Genomic DNA, 19,095 nt, shown 5'->3' on the forward strand with positions numbered 1-19,095 from the left:
TGAAAATGTTTTCCTATATTTTATTCTAGGAGTTTTCTAATTTTAGCTTTTATGTTTAGGTCTATGGGGTTCGTTTTTGTACATAGTGTAAAGTAGGATCAAGGTCTGTATTTTTCCATCTAAATATCCTGTTGCTGCACCATTTGATGAAAAGATTATTGGGCCGAGTGCAGTGGCTCACACGTGTAATCTCAGCACATTGGGAGGTGGAGGCGGGTGGATCACCTGAGGTCAGGAGTTCGAGACCAGCCTGGCCAACATGGTGAAACCCCGTCTCTACTAAAAATACAAAAATTAGCCGGGCGTGGTGGCACATGTCTGTAATCCCAGCTACTCAGGAGGCTGAGGCAGGAGAATCGCTTGAACCTGAGAGGCGGAGGTTGCAGTGAGCTGAGATCATGCCACTGCACTCCAGCCTGGGTGACAGAGCAAGACTCTGTCTCAAAAAAGAAAAAAGAAAAGAAAAGAAAAAATTACTTTGGCATCTTTGTTGGAAATCAATTGATCTATTAATCGATTTCAGCAATCTCTGTTCTGTTCTATTGATATAATGTCTATTCTTAGGCCAATACCATTGTTACTTTATAATAAGTCTTGCCATCAGGTAGCATAAGTCTTTCAACTTGGTTCTCCTTTTTCAAAATTGTTTTTACTATTGAAGGTCTTTTGTATTCCAAATATATTTTAGTATCAGCATGTCAATTTCTACAAAAAGCCTGCTGAGATTTTTATGGAAAGTGCATTGTATCTAGGGATCAATTTGGGTAGAACTGACAGCTTAACAATATTGTTTTTTTAAGTCCATGAACATGGTATAACTCTCCATAAAGTTAACTCTTTAGATCTTTAATTTCTCTCAGCAGTGCTTACTATTTTCCAGTGTATAGGTCTTAGATTTTGTTAAATTTACCCCTAAGTTATTCATGTTTTTACATGCTAGTGTAAAAATTATTGCTTTTAAATGTTATTTTCTAAAGTTATTTTTAATAGTATATAGAAATAACATTGATATTTGCTTATTGGCTTCATTTCCTGAGTCTTTGACAAATTTATTTTAGTTTCTTTCCCTTAGACGTTTCTGTGTACACAATCAAGCCATCTGTTAATAAAGGCAACTTTACTTCTGTGTGAATCTATATACCTTTTATTTATCTCTTATACCCCATTACCATATTGACTAAGACTGCCAGTACAATGTTGAATAGAAATAGTAAAAGCAGACATTCTTTTCTTATTCCTGATCTTAGGGGGAAAGTGTCCAGTTTTCATCATTATGTATCACGTTAGCTCTAAGTTTTTCATAAATGCCCTTTTGGGGGTTAAGGAAGTTTTTTCTATTTCTATTTGTCAAGAGTTTTTTTTTTTTTTTTTCATTATAAATGAGTATTGAATTTGGTCAAATTCTTTTTTTTTTTTTTTTTTTTTTTTTTTTTTTTGAGATGGAGTTTCGCCCAGGCTGGAGTGCAGTGGCCAGCTTACTGCAACCTCCGCCTCCCAGGTTCAAGCAATTCTCCTGTCTCAGCCTGCCGAGTAGCTGGGACTACAGGCTCCTGCCACCATGCCTGGCTAATTTTTTGTATTTTTAGTAGAGACAGGGTTTCACTGTGCTAGCCAGGATGGTCTCGATCTCCTGACCTTGTGATCCGCCCGCCTCAGCCTCCCAAAGTGCTGGGAGGCCCGCACCTGGCCTGGTCAAATTCTTTTTATGCATCTATCGAGATGATCACATGCTTTTCTCCTTGTTTTCCATTTGTGTTATCATTCTTTGTTCCTTTTTTCTGCTTTTCCTACCTACTCTTAGATTGTATATTTTTAGTATTGCAACTTATCTCCATTGTTTGACTAATTGTTTATTTTTTTCTTTTTATTTCTAGTGTTTGTGCATTTTAACCACAGTCTACCTTTCAATATTATATGTAACTTCAAATACAATGTAAAAACATAGTATACTTCTGTTTTTCCTGTCCCATTCCTTATGTTATTGTTACCATACAGTTTTCTTCTACATAAGTTATTCACCCCAAAATAAATGGTTGTTGTTTTTTATTTGTTTGTTTTTGCTCAAAGCAATTATCTTCTAAGAAAATAAAAAGTATTTTATATTTACACATGTATTTCTGGTGCTCTTCATTCTTTTGTATAGGTCTGAATTCCATTTGGTATCATTTTCCTTCAGCCTGAATAATTTGCTTTAATATGTTTTAAAGTGAAAAATTATGGCAACAAATTCTCTCAACTCATCCCCAGCCCCAAGCAATCACTAATCTACTTTTTGTCTCTATAGATTTGCCTTTTATGGACATTTCCTATAAATGGAATCATACAATATATGATTTTTTTGTGACTGGCTTTTTTTGCTTAGCAAAATGTTTTCAAGGCCATCCATGTTGTAGCATGTATCAGTACTTCTTTCCTTTTTATTGCTAAATAATATTACATTGTATGGACATACCATGTGTTTAGCCATTCAACAGGTGATACACATTTGGGATATTTCCACTTTTTGGGTATAATGAATAATACTGCTAGGAACATTCATGTACAAGCTTTTGTGTGGACATATGTTTTCAATTATCTTCTGTATATACTTAGGAGAAGAATTGCTAGGTCTTATGGCAACTGTACGTTTAACCTTTTGAGGACTGTCAAACTGGTTTCCATAGTGGCTACATCATTCTACATTTCCAAAAGTTTCCAATTTCTCCATATTCTCACCACCACCTGTTATTGTCTTTTTATTTTTATTTTTTTAGACGGAGTCTCACACTGTCACCCAGGATGGAGTGCAGTGGCATGATCTCAGCTCACTGCAAACTCCGCCTCCTGGTTTTATGCCATTCTCCTGCCTCAGGCTCCCGAGTAGCTGGGGCTACAGGCGCCCGCTACCACACCCAGCTAATTTTTTGTTTTTTTAGTAGAGATGGGGTTTCACCATGTTAGCCAGGATGGTCTTGATCTCTTGACCTCGTGATCCGCCCGCCTCAGCCTCCCAAAGTGCCGGGATTACAGGCGTGAGCCACCATGCCTGGCCGAGATTATCTAACTCTTTTATTAGAATTTGAAAGTTATCTCCATAGAGGCATCACATATTCTTAAATAGTCCCTAGATGTTTAATGACTTTTATTGTTATTGTGGATAATAACTCATACTTATTTTTCATTGGTTTTGGCTGTTATAGAAAAATGCAATTGATTTTTGTAGGGTTATCTCATAGCCAGCAACCTTGCTGAATGCTCTTATTAGTCCTAATAATTGATACTGGGGTTTTTTGATAGCTTAACAATCAATCAGATGTTATTGCTTTATTCATGTGTTTTTGCAAGGCACCGTGGTATGGACTAGAAAAGTTGGAATGACACATGAAAGACAATAGGAAAGTCATTGTGAGGCAGGATGCTTTACTAAATTTTTTAAAGAGACAATAAACGACTTGCTCTGTCACTCAGGCTGGAGTGCACTGGCACAATCATAGCTCACTGAACCCTTGAACTCCTGGGCTCAAGCAATCCTCCTGCCTCAGCCTCCCAAGTAGCTAAGACTACTGGCATGTGCCACCATGTCTGGCCAATTTTTAAATTTTTGGTAGAGATGAGTTCTCACTATGTTGCCCTTGCCAGTTTTGAACTACTGGCCTCAAGTGATCTTCTTGCCTCAGCCTCCCAAAGTGCTGGGATTACATACGTAAGCCACAGTACCTGGCCTATATTTTACTAATATTTTAAAACCTATTACTTTGCTCAGTTTTCCTTCTTGTATTTCAGCCTCTCCATCCAGGATCATTTCCCTTAATAACAAACATGTAGGATTGATTGTGTTCCAGGCATTGTTCTTAGATATGTTTGTTCTATCTGAAGAACATCCTTTAGAATTTCTTTGGATCTCAGTTTTTGTTGTCTGCTTTTTGTTTTTTAGGGGGTGGGTGGGGGAGGGTGCAGTTGTTATTGGAAGGAATTGCTGGATAGAAGCATAGAAGTTCTTAAACTCATGAGAGTATAAGCCATGTCTCAGGGAGAGAGCAGCAGTGGGAAAGAGGGAAAAGACAGAATCCTGGGGGGGCCCAGAGCTCACATATTGATCTTATGATCCTTCCTTCAAGAGATGGTGCTCATGGGAACTGCAAGGCCAAGGGCCAGAGACAATGCAGTGGAGGTAACCTGGAGGGCTCTTGGGAGGAGGGTGCCAGCCTTGTGCCAGCAAGCACATGCCATGATGATGCCACACTTCTTTTATCCATCTTCTGTACCCCCCAAACCCAACCCTAGGAGGACAATGGATCTGCCCAGAAATGACTAAATATTAACAAACTGTTCTGCTCCACCAGGAGACAGGGAAAGGAATGGGTGCTCCAGGCATCAGTGACTGATGGAGGGTGCAGCACATAGAAGTCAACCGCTATGTTTACTGCTGGTATCAGGTGTGGCTGCAATAAGCAAAGCCAAATGCCTGAGCAGAGCTGCTGGACCCAAAAGCTCAGAAAGAAAGGAACAGTGGGTCGACAGCTGCGGCCTTAGCTCCATCTTACCTTCCTCTGTCGTTGGATATCCCTTGTGGAGTCTATGGAAGTAGAAGGCTTTGAGGGCCTGGAAGCAGAGGACCGGGGAGACAGAGCCAGGAAGCTGCCTGGACCAGTCAGATTTCATGGCTCAAGAACACTGCTGTGACCATAGAGTTCTCAAACAGGAGTCAGAGGCCCAGGCCATATCTTTCATGCTCTTTTTCTGAAATGTACTGCTCTCCCCTGCCTCTCAACCAAGGCATCCTCCTCCTCTTTGTAGCCACCTGGAACCCTGTTTTCTTCCTTCTAGAATGAAGAACCATCTACAGAAAGCAACACATGAAACCATTTTCAAACTGACTTTAATCATGTTTTGCTGCCCAAATACTGTACATGCAGAAGCCATGTGAAGAATTTTCTCCTCAAGGGAATTGGCAAGAATGTTGTACGAAACAGCCGGCAGTCCCTCCCAGCTGTGCACCTGCCACCCGGGAACCACAACAAGTTAGGAAAGATGCTGCACATAGAAAATGTATAGAGCACAGATATAAAAGGCTAATTGCTTCTTATCTAAACAGTGTGCTTGTCAGTCCCTATCAGCTATCTCTCTCTTTGCAGGATGCATTTGGAAAGTCTAAAAAAAGGGGTTCTTGCCTTCTGTGAGTTTACATGCTAAAGGAGTTGGTTGAGCTATCAGGCCCACTCTTCCTAAGGAAGCAGCTGCCCCACCTTCTGAAATGATGTCTGGTTAAAGACATTCTGGAGGGAGGAGTGGTCTTAAGAAGCAAACTACTTTGAAGGGAAATAAGTTCCCTCTCTCCTCCCATCAGAGAACATTTCCTTTAGAATTCTCAGATCTTCAACTCTCCCACTGATGTCATCCCAGAAGCAGAAATGAGGAAAGACCCAGCCTCATCTGCTGTTGGGGACACTGACTTACTCAGGATGTAGCGGAGGTTGTGACATCACATCAGCACCTTGAAAATTGTCCATTGTAGATGACCCTTAATTATGTCTCATCATTACACAAGAATAAAAGAGGGAGGACAAACCACGAAGAGAGGAAAGCAGAGTCTGTTAGGATTCCCAGAGTTCTTGTCTGAGGCAGCATCTGGGCATGGACCAGATGAGAGCCTGCACCCAGCCTGGGCATCAGGGGCTGAAGGAAACCAGCCCACGGAGACAGGAACCAGGTGCACCAGGCTCGCAACCCTCATGTGCTCCAGATCAGAGACTTTTAATTAAAACTGGGAGGGAATCATGGGGAGAGCAGCTAATGCTCTGATTTTGCAGATGAGGAAGTTGAGGCCCAGAAAAGTGAGGAGCCTTACCCAAGGTCACAGTTTCTGGTAAAACTGTACAGAACAGCCTTTGATTCCCTGTAGCCAGCTGTCCCTGTCCAGATCACTGGCTAATGGGGTGGATGCTCAGTTGCCCCTGGAATTCCCAAGCCCCATTCTGTTAGCCAAGCTGACTGGAACCCAGGCTCAGGGACCCTTCCTGGCATCATTGTGAACTCCTTGGGAGGCCCAAGGCCCTGTCCTTACTGGCCAAGTTTCCAACCAGAGCCCTGGAAGGGTTTCCCAAAGCAGAAACACTCATGCTTTTCAACAAGCACCTGCCCCAAGCCAATCTAGGCCCCTGAGAGAATGCAACTTTCTCTCACTGATGTGGCTTCCCTCACAGGCACAGCCATGCTGGGCCCACACAAGCCCAAGCTCAGGGTTCGGGGGGAGGGGAGGGAGGGAAAGTTGCTTTGCTACATGGAAAGATTAAGCCCTTTATCAGAGAACAAGGTCCCACCATCGGGCATGCCAACATCTGAGCCACGTTTGTGCAACTCAGCCATCAGAGTTGGTGCCCAAGGAGGCCAAGTTGCTCTCTTTGGCATCACTGACATTGCTCTGAGATGCTCAGGCACGCTTTTAAAAGAATCCTTTCCCAGCCAGACCAGGCCAGTCCAGCCCCCATCAGGGCTCACCTGATTGTGTGGGCTTCCCCTGCTCTTCAATCATGCTTGTTTTGTTTTGCCCCAACCTCTTCTGACGTGAGTGAAAAGGTTGAGGGAGAAGGCGGGGGGATGTGTCCACATTTTCATCTCCTCCCTGACTACTCAGTGAAAGACAGTCCAGTAGAAGAAGCAGCATTTTAAAGAATCTCTTTACATGTCAGGATACTGGAGAAGAAAACTCTGAGGAGTGGAAGAGAAAGGTAGGAGGAGGCAGGGAAGCAGGGCTCTTCTTTTCCATCTCCCTGCAGCCACTGCAGAAACACTGCTGGACAACCTTCTGGCCCTGAATGATGTGCCATCTCTCCAGCCAGGTGGAGGGCAACTCATCTACAACATCAAGCAAAGGCAGCAATTTCTTGCAGAGTTTGCACAGTGCTAGAGGCAACCAGAGAGACACAAAAGAGGAGCATCACTAAAGCCCCATTGCTTTCTGGGCTGAGGAAGATGGGGAATATGAGGTATTAGGAGGGCTGGAACCCCAGGGGAAGAGGAGCTCAGCAACTCCTGGGCAGCAGGGCATGGAAGAGGGACCCTGGTTGCATGTCAGGGCTCCTGGTAACGTAGGCTAAGATTGTGCTACATTTCATTTCCAAAGAAGTACCCTTGGAGGTCTTTATTGTCTTTAAAAATGGAGGCTTCTGCTCTCCTCAAGGCTGGCAGTAAAGAAGAGATCAGGCATGCTTCCCTGGTGGGTGGCATGACCATGGGAGGACTGGCTTGACCTCAGTGTTCTAACCGGCAGTGATTCCACAGAGGATGAGCTCTATGGGTGGCCTTTCTTGGAGCTCCTGGGTTCTGCCTCAGCCCCCATGAAATGCTGGCATTGCCTGGGACTTGCTGCATCCCAAGAGCCTCCTAAGTGCTCCTTTCCTAGTAGAATTGGGTGGTAGAAGAAACCAGATGGGGAGTCATTTTGGAGATGATTCTTCCCTGAAGGATCAAGTTCCCCTTGTCAAACCAAGACTTGGCTCCATTTACTGGAGCCTTTTTCATACCAAAAACCCATTGCAGGGAAAAGGAGTCTATGAAGAAAGTGGGACAGAATGAACAGAGCAGAAATACAAAGACAGACGCTCTGAGTCATCCATCACTGTCCCTGCCCACAACCCAACATCACTGCAGGGCCACTCCTGTCTCTGCCATATGCACAGTGAACCTCGCCTGACCAGAGGAGGTGGAATGACAAAGAGCTCCATTCCTGTAACCACTGCAGGGTTTCATCTGGGCAAGGGGGCATTTGGAGCCGGGACACTGAACATGGCAGTGAGTTGGCCCCAGGGTGGGAGACTTCTGGAGGGATCATGTTCCTTCCTTCCCCACCCCCCGTCCTCAAACAGCAGATGCTCCCCCACCCCAGCAAACAACCAGGAGTTACACTTGTGCATTCTCCTCTTCTGGGACAGGCTAGGTCCAGAGTGGCTTTTCAGACAAGCCCCTGCATCCATGATGCTGAGAAACAGACCCTTAAGTGCAGCCACACTGCATCACACAGACGTGTCAGCCTCACACAACTTTACCCTCATGGGGTAAAATCCAGGTGGGGATGAGTAACTTATTTGGTGCAAAGGGTTAAAAGAATAATTCCCCAAGGTCAATTTGGGGAGGAAATTACCTTCTTTTAGAGAGGTGGAATAGTGGAGTGGCCCAACTGCTGAGCAGTTTTGGCAGCCAGGGACTGTAGGTAGGTCAGCCCAAGTTACCAGCACATCAGACCCCTCCTCCAGCTAGAACCTCCCCTGTGCTAACCCTTCCCCAGAGGCAAGGGTCACCACGGCCTGGAACCCCCAGTGGCAGGCCTCTCTGCAGGCAGCTCCCCACCAGAGGAATGAGGGTATGGGTAGCCCCCACTTCCTGGGGTGACTGCTGGTCTGGGTATCACCACTCAGTGCTACATCCACAAACATCTATACTGTCCTGTGGGTCACTAACAACCCTATCATCCCAAAGGTGTAGAGTATTTTCGCAACACCCTGACAGTGACTGCTCTAGAGGTGAATATATCATAAACAGGAGATTAAAATACCCTTTTGCAACGGAGTTTCCTTCTTGATCCCCCACTAGGGTCGAGGAGGACAGAGCCCTTTGTCCATTTCCAAGAACTTGACGAACGCAATGGGCCTGGGGAGAGCATTTCCGCCTAAAGAGAAAATTCAGCCCAGTGGCCTCCTCCCCATCTCTATGCACCCAATGGTCCCTTTCTCTGATAATATAAGAATAGAGGCTCAGGCAGAGATAGGAGCCTGGGAGCTAACTCCGTTCATTTCCTTCCTGCCCTTACCCACTTCTTGTCCTGTGGGCAGGCCAGGTGGGGTTCTGGCTTCTTCCCCTATCTTTCTTGGGAGGTGTTATAAGACTCTGGCTTCAACGTAACACAGAACCATGCCAGCCAAGGAGGCCCTTTGGGCTGAGATGACCTATCCATAAGGCGCCACTGCCTCCATGCCCCTACAACTTTGGTTATGAATGGAGGCCCCAAGTCATTCAGACCCCAAGACCTTTCTACTGCTACCCCAGGTAGCGTACCCCTGCCTCAGGTGCTGGGGCCACAGCCATTTCAGCACCTGGGGATAATGCCTGGAGAGAGGTGGAAAGAGTGCCTTCCACACACCTCCACTGTCCTGCTGCTTTCTCCCCTACCAGATACAAACCCAAGGGCTGCTCTGTCCATGTCCTGTGCAACCTCTCGCCTTTCACCCTAGAGCTGAGGAGGGACAGGGACAGGTCTGGGCATTCCTGAGTCAGACTTCAGGATTCCCACGGGACAGATTTCACAGGGTCCAGTTCAGGCACTGGTCTCCACCAACAGGGCCCAGTTGTCAAATCAAGTCAGGGTTTGAGTGGCTGTGAGAAGCTCCAACCAGACATGGGTGAGAAAGCAAGCAGAGGCAGGTGGGTGCCTGGAGCAGATGGCTCTGCAGAGGGCAGCAGTGGGGCACAGGAAAGCAGGGAAGCCCGGAGGGGTAAGTATTGCTTAGACAGAGCTGGTGATGGTGGCAGACGAGAGTCCGGAGCCAGGCTGCTGGAGCCCAGCTAAGTCTGAGCTCCCAGACAGGGACCCTGGTCTGGAAATGCACAAAAACTGGAGCCCCAAATGAACAACTTCATGCAGTGAATCCCCAAATGTCAGATGGGATCCTCAACAGTGGCGGGGAACAACTCAGCCTCAGCCCTCCTTATTCCAGCAAACAGCCCTACCCACAGAACCTCCTTACCGAGTCATGCCCACCAGGAATGAGCCCTGAGGGGGTCAGGGCCACCCTCAGGGCCTCAGGAGGACTGTTTGCTTTAGCAGATAACATGCCCTCTGTGGCTGCCTGCCCAGGCCCACTGGCAGAGCTCCTTCGGCACGGTGGAGTGGGGAGGCTTGAAGAGACAGGAGATGAAGAACAAATGCTAAGGGGGCACCTGGCCAGGAACCCTGGAACCAAGACCTCGTGCTTCACTGGAAGAAGGAGGAGGTTCCAGCCTCATAGAGAAAGTCATTTCTAAGCCCTCAGTCCCCTGGGTACCCTCTGCCTCCCCAGGGCCCTGGCCAGGGAGCTAGGTGGGCATGCTACATGCTGCAGAACGCATTCAGTGGCAGGAAGAGCTGCCGGAGCGGCTCCAGTGGGGTGGGGTTCCCAGAGGGCCCTCAGTGTGGCCAGCTGCAGCGGATGCTACATTTCTCAGAAAACAGTGGCAGAGCCGGGAGAGTCAAGAGTGGAACAAAAGACAAGACAGAAAACAAAGCAGAGACCACCAGGAGCAGGCACAGGTGAAGAACACACAGGCTCTGCCCCAGGCCAGGACCAGGCAGCACCGACCAGTGGCCGCATGCCCCACCTCCATCCCTGGAGACTCCTCAGGGTGAGTCATGTCCACACAACACTCCTTTGGGTTTCTTTTCAACAAGACACAAAGAGACGTGGAGACATTTCAGCCCATATCATCACCAGGAGTGACTATACCCAGACAAATGAACAGATAGAACGTGGTCACGTACACACACACACACACGCACGCACACACGCACACACTACAGTCTCCACTGCCAGCTGGGATGAGCCCAGTAGCCAACAGGCATGCAGCAGGACAAGGGGTCCAGAAAGACACGAAGACTATGTACAGGGGAGGACATGGGGCCAGCAGGCACCCCTCCCCACACCACCATCCTGGCCTCTTCCTGACATCCTTAAGAGCATGAGGGGCTGGTGGCACTCTCCAGGGAAGACTGGGACAGGCGCCTGGTGAGGGATCCGAGTGTGGAGTCTGCCACTGAGGAGGTGGGGAAGAGTTTGTACCAGCCGGTGACCGCGGCGCTGAGGTCCAGCTCGTCCAGCATGATCTGGGCCATGCCCATGAAGCACTTGTGGTCCATGCGGCCATAGTCTCCCCAGACGATCACCTGCCAGGAGGAAGAGAGGGAGGGAGTGAGCCACCTCCCTGACTCCAGGACTGTGCAGCAGGCCTAGGAACCTACACGTTTCAGCAGGGCACAGATGGAGCAGAGGGAGCCAGAACTCAAGACTGATTTCACACAATAATTTACTGAGCACTTGAGGTGTGTTAGATACGATCCTATGGATTTTACCTAGATTCTTTCTTTCAATTGTTATAACAAGCCATGTAGGTAGGGGTGCTCTGTATCATTATTTCCATGAAGGAAACTGTAGCTCAGAAAGGTTAATTAGCTAACCTAAAGTTGCACAGTAACTTGTGGCAGAGCTTGGATTAGGACCTGGGTGTGTGACTCCAGAGCCTCCCAGCATTTCAGATAACAGCCTTCCCCAGGAAGGGGCAAACTGAGAGTTCAGGACTTGGCCATAGCTCTAGCTGTGCTGCTGGCTTGCCGTGGGACTTGTGTAAGCTCCATGCCCTCACTGGACCTCAGTGTTTCCAGCCACACCACTGGGAGATTTTTTGAGATGGAGTCTCACTCTGTTGCCCAGGCTGGAGTGCAGTGGCGCAATCTCAGCTCACTGCAAGCTCTACCTCCTGGGTTCATGCCATTCTCCTGCCTCAGCCTCCCGAGTAGCTGGGACTACAGGTGCCCGCCACCACACCCGGCTAATTTTTTGTATTTTTAGTAGAGACGGGGTTTCACCATGTTAGCCAGGATGGTCTTGATCTCCTGACCTCGTGATCTACCCGCCTCGGCCTCCCAAAGTGCTGGGATTACAGGCGTAAGCCACTGTGCCCGGCCGTTATTCCTTTTCTAAGCAAACACCAAAGATTATTCTTCCCACTCCCCAAAGCCTAGGGTTCCGCAGTTCTTTTTTTATTTTTAATTTTTAAGAGACAGGATCTTATTCTGTCACCCAGGCTGGAGTGCAGTGGCATAATCATAGCTCACTGCAGCCTTGACCTCCTGGGCTCAAACAATCCTCCTGCCTCAGCACCTCGAGTAGCTGGGATTACTGGCACGTGCCACCATGACCAGATAATTTTTTTTTTTTCATGTTTTAGAGATGGGATCTTGCTATGTTGCCAGGCTGGTCTCAAACTCTTGGACTCAAGTGATCCTCCTGCCTCAGTCTCCCGAGTCTCTGGGATTATGGTTGTGAGCCACCATGTCTGGCTCTGCAGTTTAAATTTGCAACTCCAAGGCCCCTTGCCACAGAACCATCTCAGCCCAGAGGAGCAGCCCTAGATGAGAAGTTGGATGGCCCAGACAGCCCCTGGCTCTAGCCTCTTCTCTCTCACCTCCATGGCCTCAGGCAAGATCAGCAGCCACCACCATGATTGTTAATACTTAGTGAGTAGCTGTTTATGTGGCAGGCCCTATGTAAGGCTCCCTACATGCAATCCTCTGTTTAATAGTCACATCTACCCGCGGCTAATGAGTGCTGAGCTGGAATCTGAACCTAGGACTGAGCCCAGAGACTGATCCACCACTGTGCTTTATCCCCACGTGACCTCAGGTTCTTCATCTATGAAACGAGCATGAAGATCCCTCCCTCCCAGGACTGTTGAGAAGGGCTAACAATACCAAGTGTGCAGAAGGCCTTTGTTGCTCTCAAGTAATTGGGATGACAGTCACCTGGCCTGGGCTCACCCCAAGCAAGTGACTTCATCTGTAAGAGACTCGGTTTCCGTAAAGTGAAGAGAATCACACCTACTCCACAGGATCATCTGCAGGATGAAATGAGGTCGTGTTTGGAAAGCACCTAACACAAGGCTTGGCACTGAACTGATGTGCAATGAACATTAGCACTAGGGGAAGGAGGAGGCAGTGGTCACATGTGTCCTGGTTCTACCTACCAGCTGTGCAACCTGGGGAGCAATTTGATTACCCCCAAAACCTTGGTTTCCTTATGAATCAACTGGGGACAGTAATACCTCACAGGGTTGTGAAAGTAAATGAGTAACGCAAATTAATGCACCTACCACAGCACCTGGCACAGGATGAATCATAAATGAAAAACTTTAAATTACAACTTCCAGTCTGTGAGTCCACCCTGCCCTACTTGCCCTGTGACACCCACCTGCAGCACCTTGCCCTGGGGTCCCTCGTCAAAGAGCAGAGCCTGCTGGTACAGGGGATCACAGGTCTTCTTGGTCATCTTTGTCTTCTTCTTGGCCAAGCAGGCCCCATTCTCCAGCAGGTAAACCTTGATATAGGTGGCTAAGGGAGGAGAGAATGTATGACAGGGAGGGGTCCAGGACAGACAGCTTTGGCCTGCCCATCCCCTAACTGCCAGGTGATCTTGGAGGTGAGCAGGATGTGTGGAATGAGCCAGCCAGTGGACAGCAGGCAGAAGAGGTGACTCAAGTACTGATTCCTCCATCCTCCCTTACTCCCCCACCTAGTCACTGGCCTTCCAGGCAAGCTGTGACTCCACTGTAAAGAATCCCGATTTAGGCCAGTGGGAGCTGAGGACCTGCTAGACCCAGAGCTCGGCTCTATGCCCCTCCCTGTCAGGACCCCATTTCCAAAATCCCTCACCTGGGAGGGATTTGGAGCCTGGTTTGGGGGTCAGGCCCCGAGCTTCAATCACTTCCACCTCCAGCTGGCCACTCCGGTCCATGATGGCAATGTGCACATCTCCTGAAAGGAAGAAGAGGGTGAGTCCAGGCAGGGCCAGACCAAGGGGCAGGCCAGCCAGCTGCTGTACTGAATGCCAGCCTGTGGAGGAGGCTACATCATCACTAGAAAGGGAACAAGATGGCACCAACCACATGGGCCAAAACTGCTCTCGGAAGACCACTTTAAAGCAGCTGAGGGACCCTTTGATAGGTCCCTTGGGGTGGGTTGGGGTAGGGGCATGATCTTCAGGGGCATGACTGGGTAACAACAGATGGCTGCCAAACCCCCATTTGTGTCTGGCTAACTGAGAGGCTTCTGTTTTACTGAGCAGAATAGCAAACTTGAGGACAGAGCTTCCTGTGTCAGGAAGACAGGGGAGGCTGTGGGCTCAGTGGCTGTTCTTCACCTCCCCATACATCTGTGTCAAAAGAACATCCGTTTGAGGCCGGGCGCAGTGGCTCACACCTGTAATCCCAACACTTTGGGAGGCAGAGGCGGGCAGATCATGAGGTCAGGAGATCAAGACCATTCTGGCTAACATGGTGAAACCCCATCTCTACTAAAAATACAAAAAATTAGCCAGGCATGGTGGTGTGCACCTGTAGTCCCAGCTACTTGGGAGGCTGAGGAGAATCACTTGAACCCAGGAAGTGGAGGTTGTAGTGGGCCAAGATTGCACCACAGCACTCCGGCCTGGGTGACGAGGAAGACTCCGTCTCAAAAAAAAAAAAAAAAAAGAAAGAAAGAAGAAAAGAAAGAACATCTGTTTGAAAAGGCTCTGAGCTAAAAACCTGCCCAGGACACGAGGCACTACCAGACAACAAGGGCCTACTACTGCATTACCAGTGGAGGGAGGGAAGGCCAGCAGACTTTCTGGGTGTGGACGGCTGAGAAATCTTCACTGTACTCCCACAGAATGGATTATCCAGCCGGGGCAAGGTCTGTGTGTGGAGTTATGTCAGTTACCTGATTTCTAGGAACTCTTAGTTTTGTTCAACATTGGTTGGCAGAATTTGGAATTATGTAGTAGTCAGTCACTCAGAACAAAGTGAAGTCTTTTACAGGGGTGCAGAATCATAAGCCTGGTCCACAAGAATCAAATGGGCCAGACTTTGAATTCAGTCACCCATTTTTAGATTATCTGAGCCATCATGAAATTGTTTGTATTTGTGTACTACGGAAGATGGGGATTTGCTAATTTCAAGAGACCTCCTGGAATTCATCCACCTCCATCCAGCTATTCCTGACCTCCTTGTGGGGAAGGGAGAAGGGAAGGTCTTAGGAATTAATCTCCAGTAACATCACTACCGAGGTGAGCAAGGCAAACCTGTCCTTCCCTGGTCTGACACCAGGGGGTACCACACACGAATGGTCCCGGCTGCCATGGCGCATTAGCCTTGTGGAAGTGGCTGGCTCCTCTCACTGCTGCCCAGCCTGTGGCTGGGTCTAGGGCTGGGAAAAGCAGGCTCCCCAGACCCTTAAGAGACTGAAAACAAGGGTCCAGCCCTAGAATTGGATTTGGCTAATTCCCAGCCTTTGCTTTCAGCTGATCCTTGCCCTCTGAGGGTCCCCATCATCTCCTGTTCCAGCAGGCAGGAGCTCCTGGGCAGGAGCTTTTGAGGGCATTGCAGTGGAAGGAGTCCTGGCCTGGAGTGGAACCCCAGCTCCACTGCATGACTCACAGCAGGACACTGCACTTGGCTTCCTCATTTGCTGGGAGGGTCAAAGGTTGAGCACTGTCCTGATGGGGGCTGAGTGGGGACGTGTGGGTCAGGTGCTGCTCAGGTCAGACTGATGGGAAAGGAGTGGAGGCGAGGAGGCACCTCTGGAGGAGCTATCCTGGGGAGGAGCTGCTGGAAGCCAACACAGCCAACACCTAAGAGAGGGAGGGGGCAGGGAGGTTCTGTCTGAGAGCTCATGAAATGGGCCAGACTGAAGCTAACAGGACCAAGCGTAGGCTTCAGGTAGTACCGTCATCCCTCAGTATCCATGGGGGATTGGTTCCAGAACCCTACCTCGCCCCCACCCAGGGATACCAAAATCCTTGGATGCTCCAGTCTCTAATATAAAATGGCAGCCAGGAGGCCAAGGCAGGCGGATTGCCTGAGTTCAGGAGTTCAAGACCAGCCTGGGCAACATGGTGAAACCCCGTCTCTACTAAAATACAAAGAAAAAAAATTAGCCATGTGTGGCGGTGTGCGCCTGTAGTCCCAGCTACTCGGGAGGCTGAGGCATGAGAATTGCTTGGACCTGGGAGGTGGAGGTTGCAGTGAGCTGAGATTGTGCCATTGCACTCCAGCCTGGTGACAGAGCGAGGCTCTGTCTCTAAATAAATAAATAAATGGCAGCCAGGTACAGTGGCTTATGCCTGTAATCCCGGTACTTTGGGAGGCTGAGGTGGATGAGGTCAGGAGTTCCAGACTAGCCTGGCCAATACAGTGAAACCCCGTCTCTACTACAAATACAAAAAATTAGCCAGACATGGTGGCACATGCCTGTAATCTCAGCTACTCAGGAGGCTGAGGCAGGAGAATCACTTGAACCTGGGAGGTAAAGGTAGGTTATGGTGAGCCAAGATTGCGCCAGTGCACTCCAGCCTGGGCAACAGAGTGAGACTCCATCTCGAAGATAAAATAAAATAAAATAATAAAAATAGCATAGTGTTTGCATATAATCTATGCACATCCTCCCATATGCTTTATTTTATTCAGTTTTTGAGACAGGGTCTCACTATATTGCCTAGGCTGGCCTCAAACTCCTGGGCTCAAGCAATCCTCCAGCCTCAGCCTCCTGAGCAGCTGGGACTACAGGCACAGGCCACTGCAACCAGCTTCTTCCATATACTTTCAATCATCTCTAGATTATACTGGTGTGCCGCATAATGACATTTCAGTCAACAATGCATCATATACATGACAGTGGGCCCGTAAGATTATAATGGAGAATATATAGAAACCTGATATATGGTACTTGATATTGGCATTGCAGATCAAATAGGGGACATGATTGATATTCAGTAATGGTGCTAGGATATACGGTTTTCCATATGAAAAAATACATATAAATTTATATATATATATATATATATATATATATATATATATATATATATGCCATCTAGGTTTGTGTAAGTACACTCTATGATGTTCACACACTGAAAATGACTGTACTTATAATACCTAACACAATGCCTACATATCACTTCCTTTGCATGGATTCAGGGTAGTACTCGGCACACAGCAAATCAAATTTTGCTTTTTGCAACTCTGTGGAATTTTTTTTCCCTGAATATTTTCTATCCAAGGTTGGTTGAATCCACAAACACAGAACCCATGGATACAGAGGGCCAACTATACTTCCTAGCTGCAAGGAAAAGCGATAAGAAAATTACTAAAGGGCCTCTAGGTGCCAGGCGCTGTTGGGTGTAACAAGTCAAATAAGCCACAGTTCCTACACATTAAATTGAAATACCTCATGCAAAGCATCTAATAGGAGCTCAGTAAAGTATTGTTAGAGCATAGAACTCAAGTGGGTATTATTATTCCCATTTTAAATATGAGGAGACTGAGGTTCAAAGAAGGGAAGTGACTTGCTTAAGATCACAGAATTGGTGATAGAATAAACTCTACGATGGCCAATGCAGGGCCCCCACTGAGCTCACCCTTCCTGTCGCATGGTCACCATTACCCCACTCAACCTGCCCTTAATAAGACTCACCCATGGGTGGTGTTGCCAGTGTCTGTCGCCCCACAATCTGAGCTGGTCCCAGCCCATCCAGGAAATCGCTGAACTGGCTTTCAGCCCCTAGCCGGGTAGTGGGGAAGATGAACCTGCAGGAGGAGGCAGAGGGACGCGTGAGGGGGTCAGGGCAACCTGAGGATGAAAGTATAGCTGGCAGGCTGCCATGCTCTGGCCCTGGGGCCCTGGGCACGTCCCTCTGTGCCTCAGTTTCTCCTCTAAACAGTATGATTGCACTACTCTGGGAAAGGACAAACAGAACTGTTTATTTCTGCATACTGAAGAAAAATACTTTGATGTCACTTGAGAAAATAAACTAATAACAATACATAATGATGCTATTTAATCCTTAATGTCCAGGGACTTCTGAAGTGACCCTTACAAGGCAGGGCTTGCTGGACACCTGTGTCCTCACCAGGGCATATCAGTGCTAAGAACCAGAGACATAGGTCAGAAATTTCAATGCCTGGAACAAGTTACAAGAACTGAGGTTTGAGTTGACTGCAAGTTTGAAATCCAAGTCAAACATGAGGTGGTGCCCAGAACAGCAGCTAAGACCAAAATAACACAATTACAGGGTTGAGGTGAATGGCAAGTGATGGTGGTTGGTGGTTGTTCCATGACTGTGTGGGGGTCTAGAAACAGTAACAAGAAAAGCTGACAGTGATTGACAACTGGCCAGGTGCCAATGGTACATTAAAAATTCCACATGGGTTATATCTTTTAATCCTTACAACCACTCTGTGTGGTAGGAGCTATTATCCAGTCTTACAGATGAGAAAACAGAGGCTCCAAAAGGTAAAATTGCCTTGCCTGCAAAACAAAATTCATAGGGTTTTATATGTTGAGGATTAGGGCAAATGAAAAGTTCCAGACAAACAGAAAGCACTAAATGATAGTTCCGGTTGCTGCTGTTGTTATCATCAAGGGAAAAGTGCTACTTCTCTTTTGTGCTCCAGTCTAGATATTCTGGGTGTGGCCAGCTGAGAAAGGACAGATGAGGGAGGGTTGGCCCTGCCAACCCTCAGGGGCTATGATAGAATAAAGTTCTAAGATCTCCTAGAAAGGCCCAGGCTCCTGGCTGCAGAGATAAAAGGCTGTCCAAGGAAGAATCTCCTACTAGATAGTTTGGCCTTGAGTCCCCCTTGGCTAGCGGCCAGCAGGGAGGAAAAAGTAGGCTGTGTATGCTTGTCAGAGAGAGCCTGTGTCTCTCCCTGACTAGGCCCAGCCTCCACCCCACAGGGAGGGGCTTCAAGGCCCCACTTTTATTGGCCATGGTCAACAACAGCCTAATATCACATTCTTAGGACAATGATATCTGAGAAGGTTAAATAAAGAAACTTAGACTCTCAAGGTCACAGAATTTTAGGAGCTGGATATAGTGTGGAGATTGTGAACAAAGGTCATGGAATCAAATGGCCTTAATTCCAATTCTGACTCCATCACCACTTAATAGCTGTGACCTTGGGTAAGGTGGCCCACCCTCTTCCTCTCCCTGTTTCTCCACTTGTAAAATGGAGATAATGGTAATACCCACAACCCTCAGGGTTGCTGTAAGTGTTAAATGATCCCTGTTAGGCCGGGTGCAGTGGCTGTAATCCCAGCACTTTGGGAAGCTGAGGTGGGCGAATCACCTGAGGTTGGGAGTTCGAGACCAGCCTGACCAACATGGAGAAACCCCATCTCTACTAAAAATCCAAAATTAGCCAGGCGTGGTGGTGCACGCCTGTAATCACAACTAGTCAGGAGGCTGAGGCAGGAGAATCGCTTGAACCTGGGAGGTGGAGGTTGTGGTGAGCTGAGATTGCACCACTGCACTCCAGCGTGGGCAACAAGAGCAAAAC

At 47.9% G+C, this 19,095-nt stretch overlaps 1 protein-coding gene across 3 annotated transcripts in view, besides 1 other annotated feature; it reads right to left on the bottom strand.

The window, feature by feature from the left end:
* Positions 1-4,841: 4,841 nt before the first annotated feature.
* The window catches only part of RIMS3 (regulating synaptic membrane exocytosis 3), a 71,387-nt gene continuing 57,133 nt past the window's right edge, over positions 4,842-19,095 (bottom strand). For all 3 annotated transcript variants that reach the window (XM_047435189.1, XM_047435184.1, NM_014747.3), the window contains 4 exons: positions 17,231-17,343; positions 13,433-13,534; positions 12,972-13,111; positions 4,842-10,891 (listed from right to left, as the gene is read on the bottom strand). In XM_047435189.1, the coding sequence (XP_047291145.1) occupies positions 10,679-10,891; positions 12,972-13,111; positions 13,433-13,534; positions 17,231-17,343 (568 nt within the window). In that variant the 3' untranslated portion in view covers positions 4,842-10,678. The remainder of the gene's footprint in view (positions 10,892-12,971; positions 13,112-13,432; positions 13,535-17,230; positions 17,344-19,095) is intronic.
* Positions 12,464-13,663: an enhancer, noted in NCBI's record as "CDK7 strongly-dependent group 2 enhancer chr1:41093974-41095173 (GRCh37/hg19 assembly coordinates)". NCBI's record gives its function as "activates an origin of replication core promoter dependent on BRD2, BRD4, P300/CBP, MED14 and CDK7 cofactors, with strong dependence on CDK7, by STARR-seq in HCT116 cells {active_cell/tissue: HCT116}" and the evidence as "EXISTENCE:reporter gene assay evidence [ECO:0000049][PMID:35650434]".

This window comes from Homo sapiens, chromosome 1 (assembly GCF_000001405.40).
Source record: "Homo sapiens chromosome 1, GRCh38.p14 Primary Assembly".
Lineage (NCBI taxonomy): Eukaryota > Metazoa > Chordata > Mammalia > Primates > Hominidae > Homo > Homo sapiens.